Raw genomic sequence first — 22,073 nt, forward strand, 5'->3', positions numbered from 1 at the left:
CAATAGCTGATTACTTACTGATTAAGGCTAGGCTGTTTAAAATCTTTTACCAGGGGAACAAGGACTAAACCCTAGGAGAATTGTAACTGCACCCATAATCAAACTTGATGGTGTTGGTATAAAATCTAGTCAGATTAAGAAATTAAAACACTCTAGAGACATTAATCACCTGAACAGATTAAGACAAAATACACCAGCCAGGTGTGGAGGCTCATGCCTGTAATCCCAACATTTTGGGAGGCGGAGGCAGGTGGATCATGAGGTTACGAGTTGAGACCAGCCTGACCAACATGGGGAAACCCCGTGTATACTAAAAATACAAAAATTAGCCGGGCATGGTGGCACACGCCTGTAATTCCAGCTACTCAGGAGGGCTGAGGCAGAAGAATTGCTTGAATCTGGAAGGCAGAGGTTGCAGTGAGCTGAGATCATTCCACTGTACTCCAGCCTCAGTGACAGAGCAAGACTCCGTCTTAAAAAAAAAAAAAAGAAAGGAAGAAAGAAAGAAAAGGAAAAGAAAAAGAAAAAAAAAACAACAAAACACACCAGCTGGATGCAGTGGCACACCTGTAATCCCAGCTACGCAGGAGGCTGAGGCACGAGAGTTGCTTGAACCCAGGAAGGAAGTGGGGGTTGCAGACAGCCATTGCACTCCAGCCTGGGCGACAGAGTAAAAACTTTTGTCTCCTCCACCACCAAAAAAAAAAAAAAAAAAAAAGACAAAGAATGTCTACCCCAATTCCAAAGTAAAAGCATTACAAGACATGTACTAAGAAGAGGTTTTCAAAGGGAAGCTTCTTAAATGGAAATTCTGACCATAAGACATTAGCTGCAAACAGTGACATTTCCTGGGTCTCAAAAAACCTAGTAATACATGTCAACACTACACCAGAGTAGACGTTAATCTATTAATAATAAAGCTATCATTTGGTACATGGACCATTTAATGGACCACAGCTGATTCTCATCTTAAAAATGTGAACAGATTGAAATAATCTGTTTTGCCGGACAGGGTGGCTCACACCTGTAATCCCAGCACTTTGGGAGGCTAAGGCGAGCGGCTCATTTGAGGCCAGGACATGGAGACGGGCCTGACCAACATGGTGAAACCCAGTGTCTACTAAAAATAGAAAAAATTATCCAGGTGTGGTGGCACATTCCTATAATCTCAGGTACTCCGGGGGCTGAGGGACAACAATCGCTTGAACCTAACAGGCGGAGTTCATAATGAGTCAAGATCCCACCACTGCACTCCGGCATGGATCACAGAGTAAGACTCCGTCACAAAACAAAAATTAAGAGAACCAAAGGAGCAGTTTTTTCCATTCTATCTCCAGTAAATACTAGTTAAATGAACTACCAACTGATGACAGACATCTGCCTCAAACTTAACTATGTAGATAAAAAAACTGATATAAAAAAGTTTAACACAGGTTTACATTAAAATTTAAATAACAATATGTCAAATTGTGACCGAAAACAATAAATCCGTTAAACTAGCTAGCTAGCTAGTTCCGTACTATCACTGGAATTTCCTTTTAAAACCTACTATTTCATCTGACCATAGCCAAAATGAAGCAAGTAATAGTTCTGTTTTGAATCTATGTTAACAGTCCCATGAACACAATTAGGAGTCAAATTCTCTACTTTTCTGAAGAAAAATATTTCAAAATATTTCAGCCGGTGGGGCTTTTAGTTACAAAGAATGCTGCTCAGGCAGAAATGGACTCTCATTCACATCTGAGGAAGTAGTCCTTGCCTCAAAATGTTCGTAACATAGTTGGAATTCTTGATTTTGTGCTTAAAAATAAATCAACCAGCAAAATTTTTGTAGCTTGTGTTTTATTTCTAAACTGAAATCAATGATTTCTAATGTTATTTGCAAGTACTTCACCACAAACATGCTGTCTTAGTCTAGCATCAGTTTACCCGGATACTATCAACTGCAAGCACCACTCATTTAAAATATAAAACGACTAAATGGTAAACCAGTATGCTCATTTGCTCACCACTGGAGCTATACAAGGTATTCACCACATGGGGAAACTCTAACATAATTTTTAAAGAAAATATAATTCTGGTAATTAAGGGGGAAAAAATGGAAATAGATTATTACCACATTGTTGGGTTAGCCTTGTCCAAAGATCACTGATATGGGTTGGGGAACACCATAAACATACCTACTACCAAAGAATAGGTAGCAATAGCTCCTATACTGAGCCAATGGCATCAATCAATAATTGGTTCTGTAATATTCTATCAGAAAGAATTACAAATATTAGTATTTAGGGATATTTTTGTAAATTCTAAGCCATTTGATTGAAAATGGCTCCACGAAGAAAAAATACATTAAATGTACATACTTATTTTAAGAGGAATAAAATTTGACATCTTAATGAAATGTTGCATATTAAGGGAAAAAGTGGTGTGTCTTGATGGTTTCATTAGGAAACTATCTTAACACAAAACCAGACATTTCATGGGAAGACAATTTGAAAATGCACCTGAAAACTTTCTCAGTCAAAAAGAATCTAGTCTGTAACAGGCAGGTTGCTTGAGTCCTAGATCAATCATCAATTCTGAAACTTGACTGGATTCAAGACTGTTTTAAGAAAGGGAAAAAAAAAATCCCTGGCTTTTCTTGTTTATATGCCTCAGTCTCCCAAGTAGCGTGGATTACAGGTACACGATACCAAGCCAAGCTAGTTTTTGTAATTTTAGTAGAGATGGGATTTCACCATGTTAGCCAGGCTGGTCATGAGCTCCTGGACCTCAAGTGATCCACCAGCCTCACCCTCCCAAAGTGCTGCAATTACAGGCATGAGCCACCGTGTGCAGCCACAAATAACTTTAACATTACTCATTTGTCATGGTATTCAACAATACACATACTCCCATATGTCAGTGTTGATCTTTACCAAAGATAAAATTTTAAACTGACAATGTGGTGCAATTTTATTTTTTAAAAAACTAAAATTGAGGCTGGGCATGGTAGCCCATGCCTGTAATCCCAGCACTTCCGGAGGCCGAGGCAGGTGGATTGCCTGAGATCATGAGTTAAGAGACTAGCCTGGCCAACATGGTGAAACCCGGTTTCTACTAAAATACAAAAAAATCAGCAGGGTGTGGTGGCATGCACCTGTAGTCCCAGCTACTCAGGAGGCTGAGGCACTGCTTGAACCTGGGAAGCAGAGGTTACAGTAAGCCAAGATCGCACCACTGCATTCCAGCCTGGGAGACAAAGCGAAACTCTCTCTCAAAAAAAAAAAAAAAAAAAAAAAAAAACTGAAATTGAGTCACATGCAGTGGCTCTCATGTGTAATCCCAGCACTTTGGAAGGCCAAGGCAGGCAGATCGCTTGAGCCCAAGAGTTCAAGACCAGCCTGTGAGACAAAGAAAAAAAAATTGCTGGGAGCAGTGGCTCATGCCTGTAATCCCAGCACTATGGGAGGCCGAGGAGGGCAGATCATGAGATCAGGAGTTCAAGAATAGCCTGGCTAATATGATGAAACCCCATCTCTACTAAAAATACAAATATTAGCTGGGCATGGTGGCACATGCTTGTAGTCCCAGCTACTTGGGAGGCTAAGGCAGGAGAATCGCTTGAACCCAGGAAGCAGAGGTTGCAGTAAGCCAAGACCGCACCACTGCACTCCAGACTGGGAACAGAGCGAGACTCTTTCTCAAAAAAAAAAAAAAAAGAAGAAAAAGAAAGGGGAAAAAAAATTACATATTTTTAAAATTCTCATTTTATCAACATAGAAGAGTAAGAAGTTCTTTCACTTACAATAAAATTCCTTTTAAGGAACAGATATGATTGCTAGGCAACAGAGTGAAGGTGCATTTCAGAGAACTGGGAACTATTTCTATCTTGGTTATAGTTATGGTTATATGACTATGCATTTTGTAAATCAAATCTGATGTAGGAATTATACACCAAAAGGGTGAATTTTATTGTGTGTTTTCTATGCTGACTCCAATTTCTATCTTTCCATTCACTTGAAATCTGTGTAAGATTTCTGCCTTTAACAGTACCTACCTTTGTCAAAGGTCACCAATGACACCGCTAATTCAAAAAGACGTTTTCTAAATTCTCATACTACTTCAACTATTAGTGACATGAAAGACCTTGTTTGCCTTTCTACTCTTTTGACATATATTCATACAGTTTCCAAGATACTTCATGCTTCTCCATTTTTTTCATTTTGGCATTTTCAATCTCCTTTGCTCATTTCTTCCTTACCGCCACATTCTTTAAAGGTCACAGTACCCCCAGAATCTCTCTTCTGTTTCCAATCATCCAGTATTGCGGTTTTATAAACTCTAAGCAGATGACTCCCTTAGAACCATATAAACAACTGCTTACTTAATATCTCTCCAAACGGATCAACTTTAACATGTCCACAACTGATTTATGATATCTGCTCCTCACCTTAGCTCCTCCCAATCACTGTCACTGTAAATTCCATAATTCCAGTTGTCCAGACAAAAACGCTGGCCACATCTGATTCCTCTCTCAAGCCTCACAACATAAGCAAATTTCTCAGCAACACCTTTAAGATCCATCTGCTTTTCATCACTCCCATTGCCATTTCTCTGGTCCCACCAAAAATCACTGCTTCTCTGAACAGCCACCCATTATCTTTCTCAGTAAGAGTGATCTTGTTAAAATATGAGTAAGACCCTCCCATTCTCTTCACAAAGCCCTCTAATAGCTTCCCATCTCATTCAAAGTAAAAGCTAAAGACATTATGCCTTATGCGTCACGTGATGTCTTTAACCCAACCCCTTTTCTCTGAGGCCATCTATTTCTGGTTTTTTTTTTTTTTTGGAGACAGAGTTTTGCTCTTGTTGTCCAAGCTGCAGTGCAATGGGCACAATCTCAGCTCACTGTAACCTCCACCTCCTGCATTCAAGTGATTCTCCTGCCTCAGCCTTGTACTACAGGCGCCCACCACCACGCCCAGCTAATTTTTTGTATTTTTGGTAGAAATGGGATTTCACCATGTTAGCCAGGCTGGTCTTGAACTCCTGACCCCAGGTGATCCGCTCGCCTCGGCCTCCCAAAGTGCTGGGATTACAGGCGTCAGCCACCACTCTCGGCCTCTATTTCTTATTATAGTATTCCTGCTATATACAATGCCTCACAGCAGGATCATAACAAATATTTGTTGAGTAAATAAATGAAGTTCCCAACTGACTTCTAGGAAATAATAATCCATAAATCACACAATCAACAACGTGTAACAAACCGAACCCTATCTATGTAATAGCTGAAAAGCCAGGATTGGTGTTTTGATTTTCTGGCTTAATAAAGATCAAAGCAGGGGACTTCCCAATGAAAATCGAATAAAAGTTGAATATCATACTTTACCAAAAAATTCTATCTGTTTTCAAGGTATTTATTTAAAAAAAAAAAAATCAGCTATTGGCCAGGCCCAGTGGCTAATACCAGCAGTTTGACACCAGCCTGGGCAACATGGTGAAACCCCGTCTCTACTAAAATACACAAAAAAAGTCAGGTATGGTGGCGCGCCGGTATTCCCAGGAACTCACAAGAGGCTAAGGCAGGAGGATCCCTTGAAACCGGGAGGCAAAAGGTGCAGTGAGCTGAGATCGTGCCACTGCACTCCTGCCTCAGCAATAGAGCAAGATCCTGTCTCAAAAAAACAAAAAACATGCAAAAAACACAGCTATTGTGCCTGTGATGAACGTGAATTTGGAGGTGAAATCATATGCCTGCTGTAAGGACATCACAAATACCAGTTTATTTCTACAGATGACTTTCTCCTATTTACTCTTTCAACATTCGCTCTACAACTGCAGTCTGGGTTATTTCCTTCCTGAAGAGTAGGCTTTAGTCATTACATTTCTTATAACTTACACAACTCTAGACTTATTCTACCCAGTAAAACTGATTTTTGCAGCATTCTAGACCTGCACTATCCAATTCTATAGTCACTAGTCACATGTGGCCACTGAACTTAAATGTTCTACTGAACAGCAAGCAATGTTCTAGTTTGTTGCCTCCACAAACTTCCATCTACCGCTTATATGTAATTACCAGAGTCCAGTAATCTATAATTTACTGTCTATTACAAAACCCATAATCCTTAAAAACTCTACAAAACGACTTAGCACAAATGGATAGTTACATATCTCCTATAACTACAGAGCAGGATGGTGGAATTATAAGAAACAGTTAAAATTTTCTAACAGTATCAGATGTTGTACTCAGAGTCTTGTTTCCAGAATATATAACGAATCCTACAACTAATTCTACAACCTAATACAAAAATGGGTAATAATCTGAATACATGTGTGGAAGAGTAAACAAATGGCTGGGCTGGGCACGGTGGCTCATGCCTGTAATCTCAGCACTTTGAGGCCGAGGCAGGCAGATCACGAGGTCAGGAGATCAAGACCATCCTGGCAAACATGGTGAAACCACGTCTCTACTAAAAAATACAAAAATATTAGCCGGGCGTGGTGGCGGGCACCTGTAGTCTCAGCTACTCGGTAGGCTGAGGCAGGAGAATGGTGTGAACTCAGGAGACGGGGCTCTTGAGATCACACCACTGCACTCCAGATTGAGTGACAGAGCAAGACTCCGTCTCAAAAAAAAAAAAAAAAAAAAAAAAAAGCTGAAAAACACATGAAAAGACATTCAATATTTTTAAACAAAATGCAATTAAATCCTGACTGAGATACCACCACACTCTCACTAGACTAGAATGGATAAAAGCAAAAGACAGATATGAATGTAAGTGGAGCAACTGGAACCTTCCACATGACTGATGGGAATATAAAAGGGTACAGCCACTTTTAGCTGTTGGTCAGGTTGACCATATAATCACCATACAACCCAGCACTTCTCCTAGGTATATATACTCAAAAGAAATGAAAACACATGACCACACAAAAATTTGCATACCAATCTCCATGGCAGAATTTGTTTTTGTTTTTTTTTCCTGTACGGATTTGCCTATTTTAGGCATTCATATAAATGGAATCGTACAATGTGTGTCTTGTGACTGGCTTTGTCTGCTTAGAATATTTTCATGGTTCATCCGTGTTGTACCATGTATCAGTACTTCTTTCATTTTATGGTTACTACATTTTGTTTATTCTTTAGTCAGTTGATGGACATTTGAGTTTTTCTGGTACATCTTTAAAAATGCTGCTATGGCCGGGCCTAGTGGCTCCCGCCTGTAATCCCAGCACTTTGGGAGGCCGAGGCAGGCAGATCATGAGGTCAGGAGATCAAGACCATCCTGGCAAATACGGTGAAACTGCGTCTCTACTAAAAATAACAAAAAAATTAGCCGGGCCTTGTGGCAGGCGCCTGTAGTCCCAGCTACTGGGGAGGCTGAGGCAGGAGAATGGCGTGAACCAGGGAGGCAGAGCTTGCAGTGAGCCGAGATCACGCCACTGCACTCCAGCCTGGGCGACAGAGGGAGACTCCGTCTCAAAAAAAAACCAAAACAAAAACACCAGCTGGGCGTGATGGCTCACGCCTGTAATCCTAGCACTTTGGGAGGCTGAGGCGGCCAGATCTCGAGGTCAGGTGTTCGAGACTAGCCTGCCCAACACGGTGAAGCCCCATCTCTACTAAAGATACACACACAAAAAAAGAGCCCGGCGTGGTGATGCATGCCTGTAATCCCAGCTACTCCGGAAGCTGAGCCAGAAGAATCACTTGAAACCAGGAGGCAGAGGTTGCACTGAGCCAAGATCTCGCCATTGCAATCCAGCCTGGGAAACAGGGTGAGACTCCATCTCAAAAAGAAAAGCAACACCAAGGAGGCTAACAAAATCTACCTGAAGAATGCCCTCAAGAAGATTCATAAAACACCAGGATACCTTAGTGTTGGGTAAAAATGGAATCAAGACCGCTCAACTCAGTCATACAGCAGATTGATTCAGACCCAAATGCCTCTCCTACAAAGAAATATCTCCCACCTACTAAACGAGTCTAGGACACAATAAGAAACTAATCTAAAAGGAATACTAAGAAATAAATATTTAGCAAAATTTAAGTCCAGCCAGATGCTATAGCTCATGCCTATAATCCCAGCACTTTTGGAGGCCAAGGTGGACACATCACTTGAGCTCAGGAGTTCAAGATGAGCCTGGGCAACATGACAAAACCTAATCTCTACTAAAAACACAAAAATTAGCCAGACATGGTGGCATGTGCCTGTAGTCCCAGCTACTCAGGAGGCTGAGGCAGGAGAATTGCTTGAACCCAGGAGACAGAGGTTGCCGTGAGCAGTGATGCGCCACTGCACTCGAGCCTGGGCAAGAGAGCCACATCAGGTCTCAAAAAACAAAAAACAAACAAAAAAGACTAATAACTGATTTGTTCCAAAAGTGTATACTAATCTATGTCACCATCTAAAATCCTTCTGGCACCTATATGTATGATACACAGGTTCCCAAAAGAAAGATATAATTAACAGTGGAGCTGTGAGCAAATCCAAAACTTCCAAGCCCAGAGTACCCTCTCCACCTAAAATGACACCTCTGAGAGTCATCTGTTAGCTTTTCAAAGTAGCCTAGAAGTCTCCTGCTCTGTGAAACACATGCCTTTCAATGCAGAATGTCCCCAGTTTTCAAACTTCAAATAACCTAAGTATTTTGGCACTCTCTCCCTTCATACATATATATAAACAAACCCATCTCTCAGGTACAGTGTTACTCAAAAACATCTGAAAAATAGAAAAGGAGGTCAAAGTGTCTGCTAATCTAAACTCAGTAAGGTGAAGGTTCTCCTTCAACCCATATTGTTAATCCAAAGCCTCAGGCTTTGTGTGCCCAGAACAAAATTAGGGATATTAACTATTAATAGTTGAAGAAATGATGGTTTGACAGTTCTGTCTTGAATTTCAATGGTTTCATTTCAACTAATTTTCTCTCTCTACCAAGATACATTCCTAGAAAAGTCAGGTAGAATAAAACCAGCAGCAAAATTGCTTGTCTCCTTGAAATTCTGACAGCACAAACTCTGTGAAACCCCCCTTCATGTAACCATTAATGGCATAATCTATCATCTAGTCACGAAGACAAAATCTCAGCTTTTGACTATTATTTTCCTACAAGCACCTACTTTCATACCTTTAGTCCAACCAATCACATCAAGACCAATCTACTTCAGAAATTCTCCCAACCTCCTCTCCATTCCAACATTTACAATGTTTACCATTTAACACATCTTTTTTCCTCTAGCCACAGGCCTGTTTCTAAAATACCATCTATAGGACACAATCCCAGAACATGTAATACAAAGCCCTTTACAACTAACATTCTTTACAATTTACTTTACAGCTGGCTGCTCCTCAAACACATCAAGGCCCCTCACAACTCAATCTTTGTTACATGTGTCATCTTTGACCTGTGAGTTCTTGAAGATTTGTCTATTTCTAATGCACTGACATATTAATATATTTAGCCATGGAGTAATAACAGCACTCTGAAAACCTCTAAGAATTTCATACTCGTTACTTATATACTGTATTACTAGTCATGCACCACATACAAAATGTGCTAAGTTTAAAAAGTCCTCAGAAAGACCATTGAACTAAACCAGTCTTTTTGAACCAGGTTTCTTGCTCACCAAGTCTCCGCTGTCATAATAAAGCCTGTTATCAAACCTGCCATTTATTGGCAGTTTCTATTTCGTGTTGCCCAAAGTTCTCCAAATAAGAATTAAAGAGGCCAGGAACGATGGCTCACATCTGTAATCCCAGCACTTTGGGAGGGCGAGGTGGGCAGATCACCTGAGGTCAGGAGTTTGAGACCAGTCTGGCCAACATGGTGAAACCCCGTCTCTACTAACAATACAAAAAAAAAAAAATTAGCCACGCATGGTGGCAGGCACCTGTAACCCCAGCTAATTGGGAGGCCGATGATGCACAAGAATTACTTGAACCTGGGAGGTGGAGGTTGCAGTGAGCCGAGATCGAGCCACTGCACTCCAGCCTGGGCAATAGAGCAAGACTCTGTCTCAAAAAAAGGAAAAAAAAAAACAGAGAGAGATGAGACGACTCAAGAAAAGAGCTGACAGTAAATCAGTCTCTATGAAGGCTAGCAAGATGTCCCACAATGACTGAGAGTTCTTTTAATTCTAAAAGGTGTCCATCCTCAGGCGTAAGAGTTACCTTTTGAGGCTGGTAGCACCAGACGGGTTTCATCTATGTCTCTAACTGGCAAGTATCCTGATGTAGGTAGGGTCCACGAGATATGACAAAAAAGAATGACTGTCCATAAGACAGTGATGTATCCTTTTTCAATTGTAATGTCGCATCCATTTTCAATCAAAACGTCATTCACATACCATAAAATTCACCATTTAAAAGGGTGCCACTCCGTGGTTTTTATTAGTTCTGCAATATCACCATTATCTAATTTGAGAACAATTTCATGGGTGATCAATTATAAGGGAAAGTGGGGTTCCAATTTATTACAATCTGAAGAAAATATATCTAGTTTATATCTAGATATAGTTTTAGTATGAAAACACTGCAGTATTTGTGGCACAAATCAGAAAACACATATAGATCAAGACTTTTATGAGAATTTTTTAAAGAATTATAAGAATAGTGCCAGGTTGGGCCAGGTGCAGTGGCTCATACCTGTAATCCCAGCACTTTGGGAGGCCAAGGTGGATGGATCATGAAGTCAGGTGAGGAGTTTGAGACCAGTCTGGCCAACATACTGAAACCCCATGTCTACTAAAAATACAAAAAATCAGCTGGGTGTGGTGGTGTGCACCTGTAATCCTAGCTACTCAGGAGGCTGAGGCAGGAGAATCTCGAGAACCTGGGAGGCGGAGGTTGCAGTGAACCGAGATCTGCACCACTGCACTCCAGCCCGGGAGACAGCACGAGACTCGTTTCCAAAAGAAAAAAAAAAAAAAAAAAGAAAGAAAGAATAGTACCAGGGTAGCTGTTGACGAACATCAATTTCATGTATATGCCAGCCTACCTAAGGACTTAAAGATCTATTTTTAGAGTACTTCCCAATCTCGCTTAATTCAACAACTACAGCTTTGAATACTTGTGCATTCCCAACATTGTGATAAAAATTCACTTTTATTACAACACCTTTCGCAAAACAAAACCAGCGCCTTCAAATGAATATTAAAAAGAGGGCCAGGCGTAGTGGTTCACACATGTCATCTCAGCACTTTGCGTGGCCAAGGCAGGGAGATCCCTTGAGCCCAGGCGGGTGGACCACCTGAGGTCAAGAGGTCAAAACCGGCCTGGCCAACGTGGACAAACACTGTCTCTACTGAAAATACAAAAATTAGTTGTGTGTGGTGGTGCACACCTGTAATCCCAGCTACCTGGGAGACTGAAGCAGGAGAGTCGCCTGAACCCAGGAGGCAGAGGTTGCAGTAAGCCAAGACCAACCCACTGCACTCCAGCCTGAGTGCCAGAAAAGACTCCATCTCAAAAAAAAAAAAAAAAAGGGGGGGGGGGGACAGTGATTTTTACTCCGATTTACATATGAAGACCCAGAGCTTTCACTCAGAGCCAATTTCCCATCTTCTTTGATTAAACAATTTAACATAGTCAATGAAGTATCGCTGTTACCATTTAAAATAAAAATCTAAACCTTATGATAATGAATCTTCAGAATGACTTCTTAGAAGATATTAATACCATTTTTCTAAGTTGTTATTCCACCAGGTCATACCCAACCTATTTCCCAGGTCCAAATTGACCTAACATTTTCCAAACCAGCAAAAAACTCCTGTATCTGCCCCTCTCCCCACTAAACAAACACTCCTCCTCCTTTCACCTTCATTAACATCTATCATGTAAGACACACACTCAATTCCTCAATTCTCCAACCCAACTTGAGTAAGTTCCCATCATGTGGACACCTCCTAAAATTCATTTTCCCAACAAAGATCTCAGTACTCTAAAAGTCAGCTCTTTGCCAGCTATTACCTAGTTGCTCCACTAGTTATCAGTAATCATTATCTACTGGCTGACGTTAGAACAATAGAAGACATTACTTTTCACTGACAATAACATGCAGCAATATATCCGACAGTAACTACTAGTATCGGCTGGTGCAAAAATAATTGCGGTTTTGCTTTTTACCGTTCAAAGAAATGTCAAAAACGGAATTACTTTTGCTCAAACCTAATATATTGTTGTCTATTGAAAATCTGAAGAGGCCACCAATTTCTGTGAAGATATTTCTGCAAACGTGATTTCTTTAGATTTCTCTGCAGTATATATCTCATTGTCTCAACTAATGTTTTCCAAATTCCCTGCTCAAATTTTCAAATTTCCCCATTCACAATGTGCCTTGCCAAGAAAAGACTTTTTAATGAGAACTATTTTCAAGAAGACTGTCACTGTATACTGCTAAAACTTGATACACTCATAAAAAACATCAACTAAGAGTCCATGACATCCCTGAAATTATACCAACAAAAGTGTGAGTTTATTAAACTGGTCTGAATTGAGCCATGACAAAGAAATAGGATAATAATACACAGAAACACAACCACGTCCTTAATCTTTTATTAATGATTCTCAACTCTGACTGGACAAAAGAACACATAGAAAGCACTGAAAAATATACTAGTACTTAAGAAAGTCTGCATAAGACCAGTTGTGTAAGAATCCCTATAGGAGAAGCTGGCATGAGTATATTTTAAATGTGGTCAAGCAATTACCATGTGCAGAAAGGGTTAAAGGGCAGATGCTTCAGACAAACTCACTGGGTTTCAGTGCCTTCAAGACACCTGACCAATAATTAACCCATCTATGCCTAATGTTCCATTACTGGAATGCTAAGCTTGTCGGAGTTATTTATATCCTACTGCATTAGGTCATTACCAAGGTCTGATTGCAAAAATTCAAAAAATTGCAATTTCAGGAATAAATGGGCTGAGTTCACTAGTAATGTCCTGATTTATTTTCAACTGGAAGTTCTCCATTGATTTTTATTTTGTTTTATTTTTTGAGAAGGAGTCTCACTCTGTCACCCAGGCTGGAGTGCAGTGGCGCGATCTCAACTCACTGAAACCTCCACCTCCCGGGATCAAGCAATTCTCCTACATCATCCTCCTGAGTAGCTGGGACTACAGGCGCGTGCCACCACGCCCAGCTAATTTTTGTATTTTTTTAGTAGAGACGGGGTTCCACCATATTGCCCAGGCTGGTCTTGAACTCCTGACCTCATGATCCACCTGCCTTGGCCTCACAAAGTGCTGAGATTACAGGTGTGAGCCACCGTGCCCAGCTGATTTTTATTTTTTAAGAATTTCAAAAATTTCAACAAAAATAAAAATGAAGAATTACAGAACTCCTTAGTTTTCAAAATGTTCACACATAACTGTAAAAATCTGAGGAAAGGGCTGGACACAGTGGCTCACACCTGTAATCCCAGCACTTTGGGAGGTCAAGGCGAGTAGATCACCTCAGTTCAGGAGTTCGAGACCAGCCTGGCCAACATGGTGAAACCCAGCCTCTACTAAAAATACAAAAATTAGCCGGGAGTGGTGGTGCATGCCTGTAACCCCAGCTACTTGGGAGGCTGAGGCAGGAGAATTGCTTCAACCAAAGAGGCGTATGTTGCAGTGAGCCAAAATCACGCCACTTCACTCCAGCCTGGTGACGAGAGGAAAATTCCGTATTTAAAAAAAAAAAAAAAAAAAATCAGGCCAGGCGTGGTGGCTCACGCCTGTAATCCCAGCACTTTGGGAGGCCAAGACGGACGGATCATGAGGTCAGGAGATCGAGATCATCCTGGCTAACACGATGAAGCCCCGTCTCTACTAAAAATACAAAAAATTAGCCGGGTGTGGTGGCGGGCGCCTGTAGTCCCAGCTACTCAGGAGGCTGTGCCAGGAGGCGCAGCTTGCAGTGAGCCAAGATTGCGCCACTGCACTCCAGGATGGGCGACAGAGCGAGACTGTCTCAAAAAAAAAAAAAAAAAAATCTGAGGAAACCGCTAATGTCAAATGAAAAAAACATTTTGATGATGCATTAATGATGCTCAACCACACCATTTTATTATGGCATTCAAGGCCCTTTACAATCTGGATTTGAATTCCTTTTCGGGCCTTACTCTTCTGGCCTTCTAATGACTACGTACCATATTCTGTGAGGTTATTTCTCAAACAGAAAGTCTATACTTTCATGTCTGACACTTTCAGTGTATACTTTATGGTATTTAACGGCTGACTTGATTCCTTTACAACTCCCATGCATGACTGATTAACTCAGTTCAAATGTTAAGCATTCCCCAATCAGTAATTTTTATTCCAAAATCAGACTGAATTGTTATATACAGTAATAACATTAAAATACTAATGACTGGAATACTGGCATTATAAGACAAATAGTATATAAAGTAATATGCTTTATATATTGCATGTTTAAAGTCTATTGCATACAATAGTTTGCTCCATATACTTACATATACTGCATGAGTTTGAACGCGACAAGCCAAATAAGTCTTAACATTTCCTTCATGTTAACTGAGACTGATGTTATCAGAATGTCAATGTGGTAACACTCTTAAGCACATCATCCTATTTCCTGTTAAGCATTTGCTATCAACAGTTCTAAATCTGTTACCCAAAGCCACCCATAACCCAGTCCCTAGTCACCACACTCAGCGAATTTTTTTGTATTTTTAGTAGAAACGGGTTTCACCACGTTAGCCAGGGATTATGAAATAATGCATTAAAATCAGTATCACCCTACCTAATAATCTACTTAATGATTTAGAAAAAGGTGTTTTTTTGTTTTGGAGTTAGGGGAGTATGTTTGAAAACATCTTTGATGTTCATCACCACAAACCAGAAGAACGAAATGGTTCTCACTAAATAGCTGTTTAGCAGAAATACAAAACATTTTAACATACCTATCATAATAGTCCCGTTGAAAGTCATAGTCCAAGTCAAAAGAGGAGCTGAAAAATAAATACCGAAAAGGGTTAATTTGGAAATGTTTCTACTAATTCACAATGTCAGGTGAGGGGAGAACCATGCCAAATAAACCACAACAAATAGATCAACAAGATTAGCACTGAATGATCCCCAATCATTCATACAATAAATCACTCAATTCCAATCACCTTAGACCACTGGAAATGTAGCGGTCAAATTGGAAATTCAGGTTAAAATTCGCTAAGATTTCCACATACGACATAGCTAAACTAAACACTGAAAAACAGAATGGTAAACTAAGCATTCTTATACCACACTTCTACCCTCTCTTACTCTCTAGTGTCTTAGAAGCTCAACGATCCTGTATAAGTATTTCAGGTTATGCTATAAATATCAAACTACTCTTTAATATCAATAGCAAAAACCTCAGGGATTTTTAATTCTCTAGAAATTTTCTCTAGGGCAAAAAAGAGACATATTAACACAAAAATAATAAAACCTTATTTATACACAGATAAAACACAGTACACTTAAACCTCCCCACACCCAGAAAACAGAAAGAGAAGATGCCCACTGATGGACACAATGCAGTTATAAATAATAAAGTTCCGGACCTGAGTAGAGGGGACGGAGAAGGGTGTTCTGTTACTGACCCGTACATCTCCGCTGCAGATCGTTTCACACCTGCTTTTCCTCGGTTCACTTTTGGCTCTGCAGCCAGGTTAATATCTGAAAAACAAAAGTAAAAATGTTAATGACAACTTTGTATCCGGGTAAAACAAACTACAAAGTTTATTTTTTTTATTTTTGAGACATAGTTTCGCTTTCTCGCTCAGGCTGGAGTGCAGTGGTGTCACCTTGGCTCACTGAAACCTCTACCTCCCGGTTCAAGCGATTCTCCTGCCTCAGCCTCGAGAGTAACTGTCACTACAGGCGGGCACCACCATGCCCAGCTAATACAAACTACGAAGTTTAGAAAATCACACAGACACATAAATTAGAAAATGTGGAACAAAACAACTCATCTTTCCTTAAGACACTGTCTCACTGTCATACAAGCTGGAGTGCAGTGATGCAATAATGGCTCAATACAGCCTAGACCTCCGAAGCTCAGGTGATCCTCCCACCCAAGTAGCAGGGACCACCACGCCTGGTTAATTTTTCTATTTTTCGTAGGGACGAACTCTTGGGGTCACGTGATCTGCCTTGACCTCCCAAAGTGCTGGAATCACAGGTGTGAGCTATCAAGCTCAGCTTCATCTCTCCTTTTAATATTAAAAAGGCTCACAAATTTTTACAAGGCTAAGGCTTCATCTTCCGTTTCTTTGTAGTCTGTTCTTTACCATTCAAGTGTTCCTGAGACTAACATTAAGTCTGTCTTTGGTACTCTCCACCCTCAGATACCACTTCAACTCAACTCTCCCCATTCAAGGTACTGACTGTTCACTCAGTTACTATTACAAGAGAAAACTATCACTGGTTGCCTTTCCAAGAATGGTTCAGCTCATTCCGAATTATTACAAATATATTAGAATGAAATATATTAAAATATATGCCAATTCACAAATTAACATAGTGAAGTGTGACAACCTCAAATCATCCTCAAAGGCAACTTCAGATTTTCTTTATAAGTAAGGATTAGCTGTTCTACACGTAAAATATCCTGGGTTAACGACTGCTTTCTGAATAATTGATCAATTGCTTAAACAACCTTTACACACACCAAAAAAAATAAAAGAGCAAAGGGAAACAACCCTGGTTTTCAAATACAATTTGTAACACGTATGCCCAGCTACCTACCCTGCCACCCACTGCCTACCAAACAAGAATTTATCTTCTCCTTGTTCTAAAAAGCCCATGTCAAAAAGCCAAAAACTCTCTAAAATTCAGTTTACCTTCCCAGTCATGCTACAGCACTCGAGTCAACAGTAACTCCATTTTCATATATACTGCTTTTATTAAAATGAGCTTCATTTTAATATACAAATGCCCCAAAATATAAATTCCAAATTCCACCTCAAACCATTAACTAGATGAGTGTGGGTATTTTTTTAGACAGAGTCTTGCCCCATTGCCCAGGCTGGAGTGCAATCACGGCTCACTGTAACCTCCACCTCCCGGGTTCAAGCAATTCTCCTGCCTCAGCCTCCTGAGCGGCTGGGATTACCGGTACCCAGAACCACAGCCTGCTAATTTTATTTTTTAATAGAGATGGCTTTTCACGGTGTTAGCCAGGATGGTCTCCATCTCCTGACCTCATGGCCTGCCCAACTCAAGCCTCCCAAAGTGCTGGAATTACAGGCATGAGCCACCGAACCTGGCCAAATGTGGATATCTTAAACTTAATCTTATTTATCTTCCCTTTTTATACAAAAGCAGCTCATCAAATGACCAACTGAAAACTGACTCAGGCCAGGTCCAATGGCTGACGCCTGTAATCCCAGCACTTTGGGAGGCCAAAGCGGGAGGATCACCTGAGGTCAAGAGTTGAAGACCAGCCTGGCCACCATGGTGAAACCTCACCTCTACTAAAAAATACAAAAATTAGCCAGGTGTGGTGGCACATGCCTGTAGTACCAGCTACTCGGGAGGCTGAAACAGGACAATCGCTTGAACCCGGGAGGCTGAGGTTACAATTAGCCAAGACTGCACTACTGCACACAATCCTGGACAACAGAGCTAGACTCTGTCTCAAAAAAAAAAAAAGGACTGAATATATTGTCTATTTGCTGAACACCATTACATGAATAACCTTCAGGTTTTGGTACATTAACCTCATTTACAATTCTGACTTTGAAACCATATAAAGTGTTTCAAAACTAAAGAGAATTAAATTTCTGAAAAAGCAATCCAGTAAGATGTAAAAACAATGAAATAGACCCAAATTATGTATCTGGTTGGTTACATAACATTATCAAAGAATTGTTTCACATAACTCTAACCTACCATGCTTTGAGTCAATATACATAGTAGAATGTATACAAAGAATAAACTAAATCACAAATATAAATTTAAAAATAATCATCTTAACTTTGTAAAAACAAAGGTATGATAATTTTGAAACTGAGGCACAAGGTACACATAAAATGAGAAGTTAAAACAGACATCTAGTACAACTAATAAAATAAACATGTGGACACTGGATTCTGGCTTGAATAAACCAAATCATAGGTAGTAAGTACTCTGAGGTGTCATTACATTTTAAAATACAAGAAAATCTAACACTGAGCCAAACTGCAGTCGGCCCAACGGATGGAGTGAAATCCCAATGGGGAGACAAGCAATCAACACTAGAGGGCTCCTCCAGTCTGCTGTGGGCAGGACACAACCATTTAGGCAACGTTTTTACATTGTGAAGTGTCATTCCCAGCTCCCCCTACTCACGATTGTAGTAGAGTTGTCCTAGCTCTACTACACAAAATGGTACAATGAAGAATATCCTTTACTTAGCCAATTATAACTATAAGCCTAATGTATTTTTATTAGGCTAAACAGTCGCAATATCCAGAATATCTCATGCTGTCAGTTTTACAGACATAAAGACAAAAAAAAAACGTGAATAGAAAAACTCAGGCCTGAATTACATCATCAATGAAAAAATTCACTTACCTAAAACCTGGCCAGCAATCATTCTGCCATCCTCTCCTGCTACAGCAGCCCGGGCATTTCTCTCATTAACATACTGAACGAAGGCAAAGCCCTTATGAACAGAGCAGCCCACAATTTTGCCATACTTCGAAAAGATTGCCTCCACATCAGATTTCTTGACCACAAGAGTGTTGAGATTCCCAATGAATACACGGGAGTTCATGGAGCGAGGATCTGTCTTGTTGGTAACGTTGCTGGCCATCGTGTTTGATGGTAAGGTTTCTCACAAAGCCGAAAACTGTAAAGCAAAAAAAAGTATACAGGTGAACAGATGCTAAAAACAATATTCCTTGATAAAACATTCTCCACTCTCACTCTGAATCACTGTTAACTGCCCAGAGTATTAGGCAACTTAAAGGGACTCACAGCATTAAGTATGTATTTGCTAATAATTTCAGAGACTCCAGCCTCTGAATATACTCTAGAAAGTCAACTTCTTCCTCTTCCATTCTATTTCAGCAGCACTAAACTCTAAATTCTCAGGAAAAAAAAATTCTCCCTGGCAGATCATTGGCAATATAATTTCCTTGGACATAATTCCAAGTGGCCCTCCTCTAAGTACTCAAGCAAATTAGATTTGCCTAAATTCTCTGACACCAGTTTCTGCTGTTTTTCACATTACAGGTCATGCTAACTATTCCCTGCCATCAATAATCTTGATTCACGTTGCTTTTATTGAGTTTCACCGGTTCTGTATATATACACACAGCATAGCAAACGTCAAATTCTGTCCCAAGCCATTCATTAGCTAGATTAATATGGATAGCTTACACTTACCCATTAAGTATAATTTTCTTCAAAAGGCAATAAATAGAATCAATTCATTTACACTGGAAACACCTATTTCCAGATACTTCAATTAATCTGCAGTATGCTTTAGATACATAAGTATCAATACCATCTTTTTACAGACTGCAATGACTCGAAGGCTACTTTTTATATAACCTAAAATATAGGACATTTAATAATATCGGATGGTGATGATGATAAAACTAGCCAGTGGAACACGGCATGAATCAAATTAAAGATTGGGGAATTAAAGAAAAATACACAACTTTCCACGCATTATTTAAAACCAAAAATTATCTGTCTTTATGTATGTGATGGAGGCTCAATCCTACCATAACCATATGCAGATTCACAATACCATCTCAGGTCCCGTAAAGCGAAAATGTTTTATTTCATTCTTTTAGCATTTTGTTTCCTGCCTCTTCCCACTCCAACCCCCAATCTTGAACAAGATTTAAAAACATTCTTAAGATTGATTTCCCCTTCATCCCTTTGAAAGGTACTGATAAATCTCAAAAGATTCCAGTATTTGTTATCCTTCCAATCCTCAAGTGAATCATGACAAACTAGTTCTCACGGATGATGTAAAAAAGTCTAATGTATACATATATGTACATAAAAACAGGTAGTTTAACACCATTTCATATATACATGACTCCTATCATTCTGATGCTTAATACAGTCATTTAACAGGCAGTACTGATTTAAAAGCTCAAACAAAACTTCACTTCCTTCCAAATCTTTCTGAAATTCAAAAGTCTGTCTTTGTTACTTTCTAAAGTATATCTTTACAAAAACTTCTTAATATTTTAACACTAAGCAATAAAAATTAACAAACAGTAGCCACTGAAATCCACCAACAGCCTTTCAGCTATTAAGTATGCCAGAAAGTCTGAGGACACTAAAAAGAGGAATTAAAACAAAAATCTGCATTGAGGCCTAACTGGTTTCAGATACTACTGCTGGTTATTAAGATTTCCCATTATTACAAGTGGAGGTATAATCTGGTTTTAAGCAACTATTTTTCACAAATAGGTTTATCAATAGAAAATATAATCTCCATAGGTTTAATGAGAAGAAATTACCAGGGGTGAGGGGCTCCGTAAGCCAACACAGAATACTGACCATAAGGGAAAAAACCCATCAAACCACAGTCCAATGTTCCAAATGGACATTTGCAGAAAAATACAGATGTGATTGAAAGGGGTACCCTTTGGAATAAGACAGAAATGGATTTAAATGACCATTTTCTCAATTTTCACAAGTCTGAGTACATAGCTAGTATTATTTTCACAAGTCTGAGTACATAGCTAGTACTAATCAAGATGCAAGGAATTCATACCCCACGGCATTTTTCATGTGTATCAGGCCTTAATTCTCTCAAAGATCCACAAAGGAAAAACTCAGTAGAAAAGCATCCAGGCATACAAGGATGCTAGCAATGGTTGTTATGAGTTTAAGGATATGATTTCTCATTTTCTTTATGGTCTGGTTATTAAATTTGCTACAAAAATCATCAACTACTTATTTTTAAAATACAAAAATCCCAACTTCCAAAGTTTGCCTAAAATTAATAAAATACCCATACTTACTATGAGGACTTAAATTCAAGATGGAGGCAACAGTAAAGACAGACGTACTCACAATACGGATTAATTCCACTCTTAGTAACGTGTCCTCCTAAGGAATGAACAGTCACTACAAATTCATTCATTTTGGGGATCAAATATTTACTAACCATGTGCTGAGTACCACATTTCAGGGAAAATCCAGGGCACAAATAGTAACAAAGACTGTCCTGAGAGCTTCCTTAAATTCCAGTGGTATTGCTACTTCAAATTTTATGGAAGAGGTACATTTCCTGAAGTTTTAGAAATAACCAAATGATGTCAAGTCACACTTCATTCTACTTCAAAATTTTAAAGTATCATACAGGTGAAATTTCCATAAAGGGAGGACGATACTGTAACACAAAGAAACTACTGGAAAAGAACTGGGATTCTTGGAAGGGGTCAGCAAGAGCAGAGTAGTTTTTGAATCTCTGACTCCCAAAATAAGACTCAAGATGGCAAAATCACTATCCTACAGACAGCATTTAAATCAAAATTCCAAAATGCAAGGCAGTAAAGGCAAGCCAGCATATATGGTTTCACTGACTGTGGGAGAAATAAAAGGTAAGCAACTTGGAGAATAATAGACTTAGAAATACAAGAATACCAAAATAACCAGCAGTTATTTATTGAAAAGCAACAGGAACGAAATTTTAGAAAAGCAGTTAAAACTTAGAAGTTTCACCTGCTCCAATAGTGGGTGAGCACAAGGGACTTCAATAAAAATGTGTGAAGGTGCAAGAGCAGTTGCATCCCTGTAAAGTCTCATAAGTAAACAAACCCTATGTGGTTGATTCCACTGCCAATCCCCCTTCCTCTCACCAAAAGGTAACAACCATTATGACTTTACTAGCACTTTCTCACTTTTAAAATAATTCTAATGCCTAAATGTATAACTATAGACATTCTAGTCTTCCCAGAAAAATAAACGTGATGCATTTGAAGCATTTTTGTAGGTAAGTTCCGCTTCTATTGCATTAGGTTAAAATTTATCTGTTTAAGAATCCACAGTATTAACTTGTAGTTTCCCAGTCTGTATTTTCCAGGATTGATACTCTCAGAACAATTCCACATATTCTTCTGTAACTCTTGAAAGCAGCAGCTGG

At 39.5% G+C, this 22,073-nt stretch overlaps 1 protein-coding gene across 18 annotated transcripts in view, besides 1 other annotated feature; it reads right to left on the minus strand.

The window, feature by feature from the left end:
* HNRNPC (heterogeneous nuclear ribonucleoprotein C) overlaps positions 1–22,073 on the minus strand; it is a 60,296-nt gene that overhangs the window by 6,277 nt on the left and 31,946 nt on the right. For 9 of the 18 annotated variants that reach the window (NM_001077443.2, NM_004500.4, XM_006720125.4 and 6 more), the window contains 3 exons: positions 18,530–18,806; positions 15,574–15,649; positions 14,896–14,943 (listed from right to left, as the gene is read on the minus strand). In NM_001077443.2, the coding sequence (NP_001070911.1) occupies positions 14,896–14,943; positions 15,574–15,649; positions 18,530–18,770 (365 nt within the window). In that variant the 5' untranslated portion in view covers positions 18,771–18,806. Of the gene's footprint in view, positions 1–14,895; positions 14,944–15,534; positions 15,650–18,529; positions 18,807–20,949; positions 21,038–22,073 lie in introns of all 18 variants that reach the window. The other 9 variants (NM_001077442.2, NM_031314.3, XM_011536710.3 and 6 more) reach the window with 3 other exon arrangements.
* Positions 3,277–3,820: an enhancer, noted in NCBI's record as "H3K27ac hESC enhancer chr14:21686859-21687402 (GRCh37/hg19 assembly coordinates)". NCBI's record gives its function as "activates a minimal SCP1, AML or CMV promoter by ChIP-STARR-seq in naive H9 embryonic stem cells {active_cell/tissue: H9 hESC(naive)}" and the evidence as "EXISTENCE:reporter gene assay evidence [ECO:0000049][PMID:30033119]".

This window comes from Homo sapiens, chromosome 14 (assembly GCF_000001405.40).
Source record: "Homo sapiens chromosome 14, GRCh38.p14 Primary Assembly".
In the NCBI taxonomy this organism is placed as follows: Eukaryota; Metazoa; Chordata; class Mammalia; order Primates; family Hominidae; genus Homo; species Homo sapiens.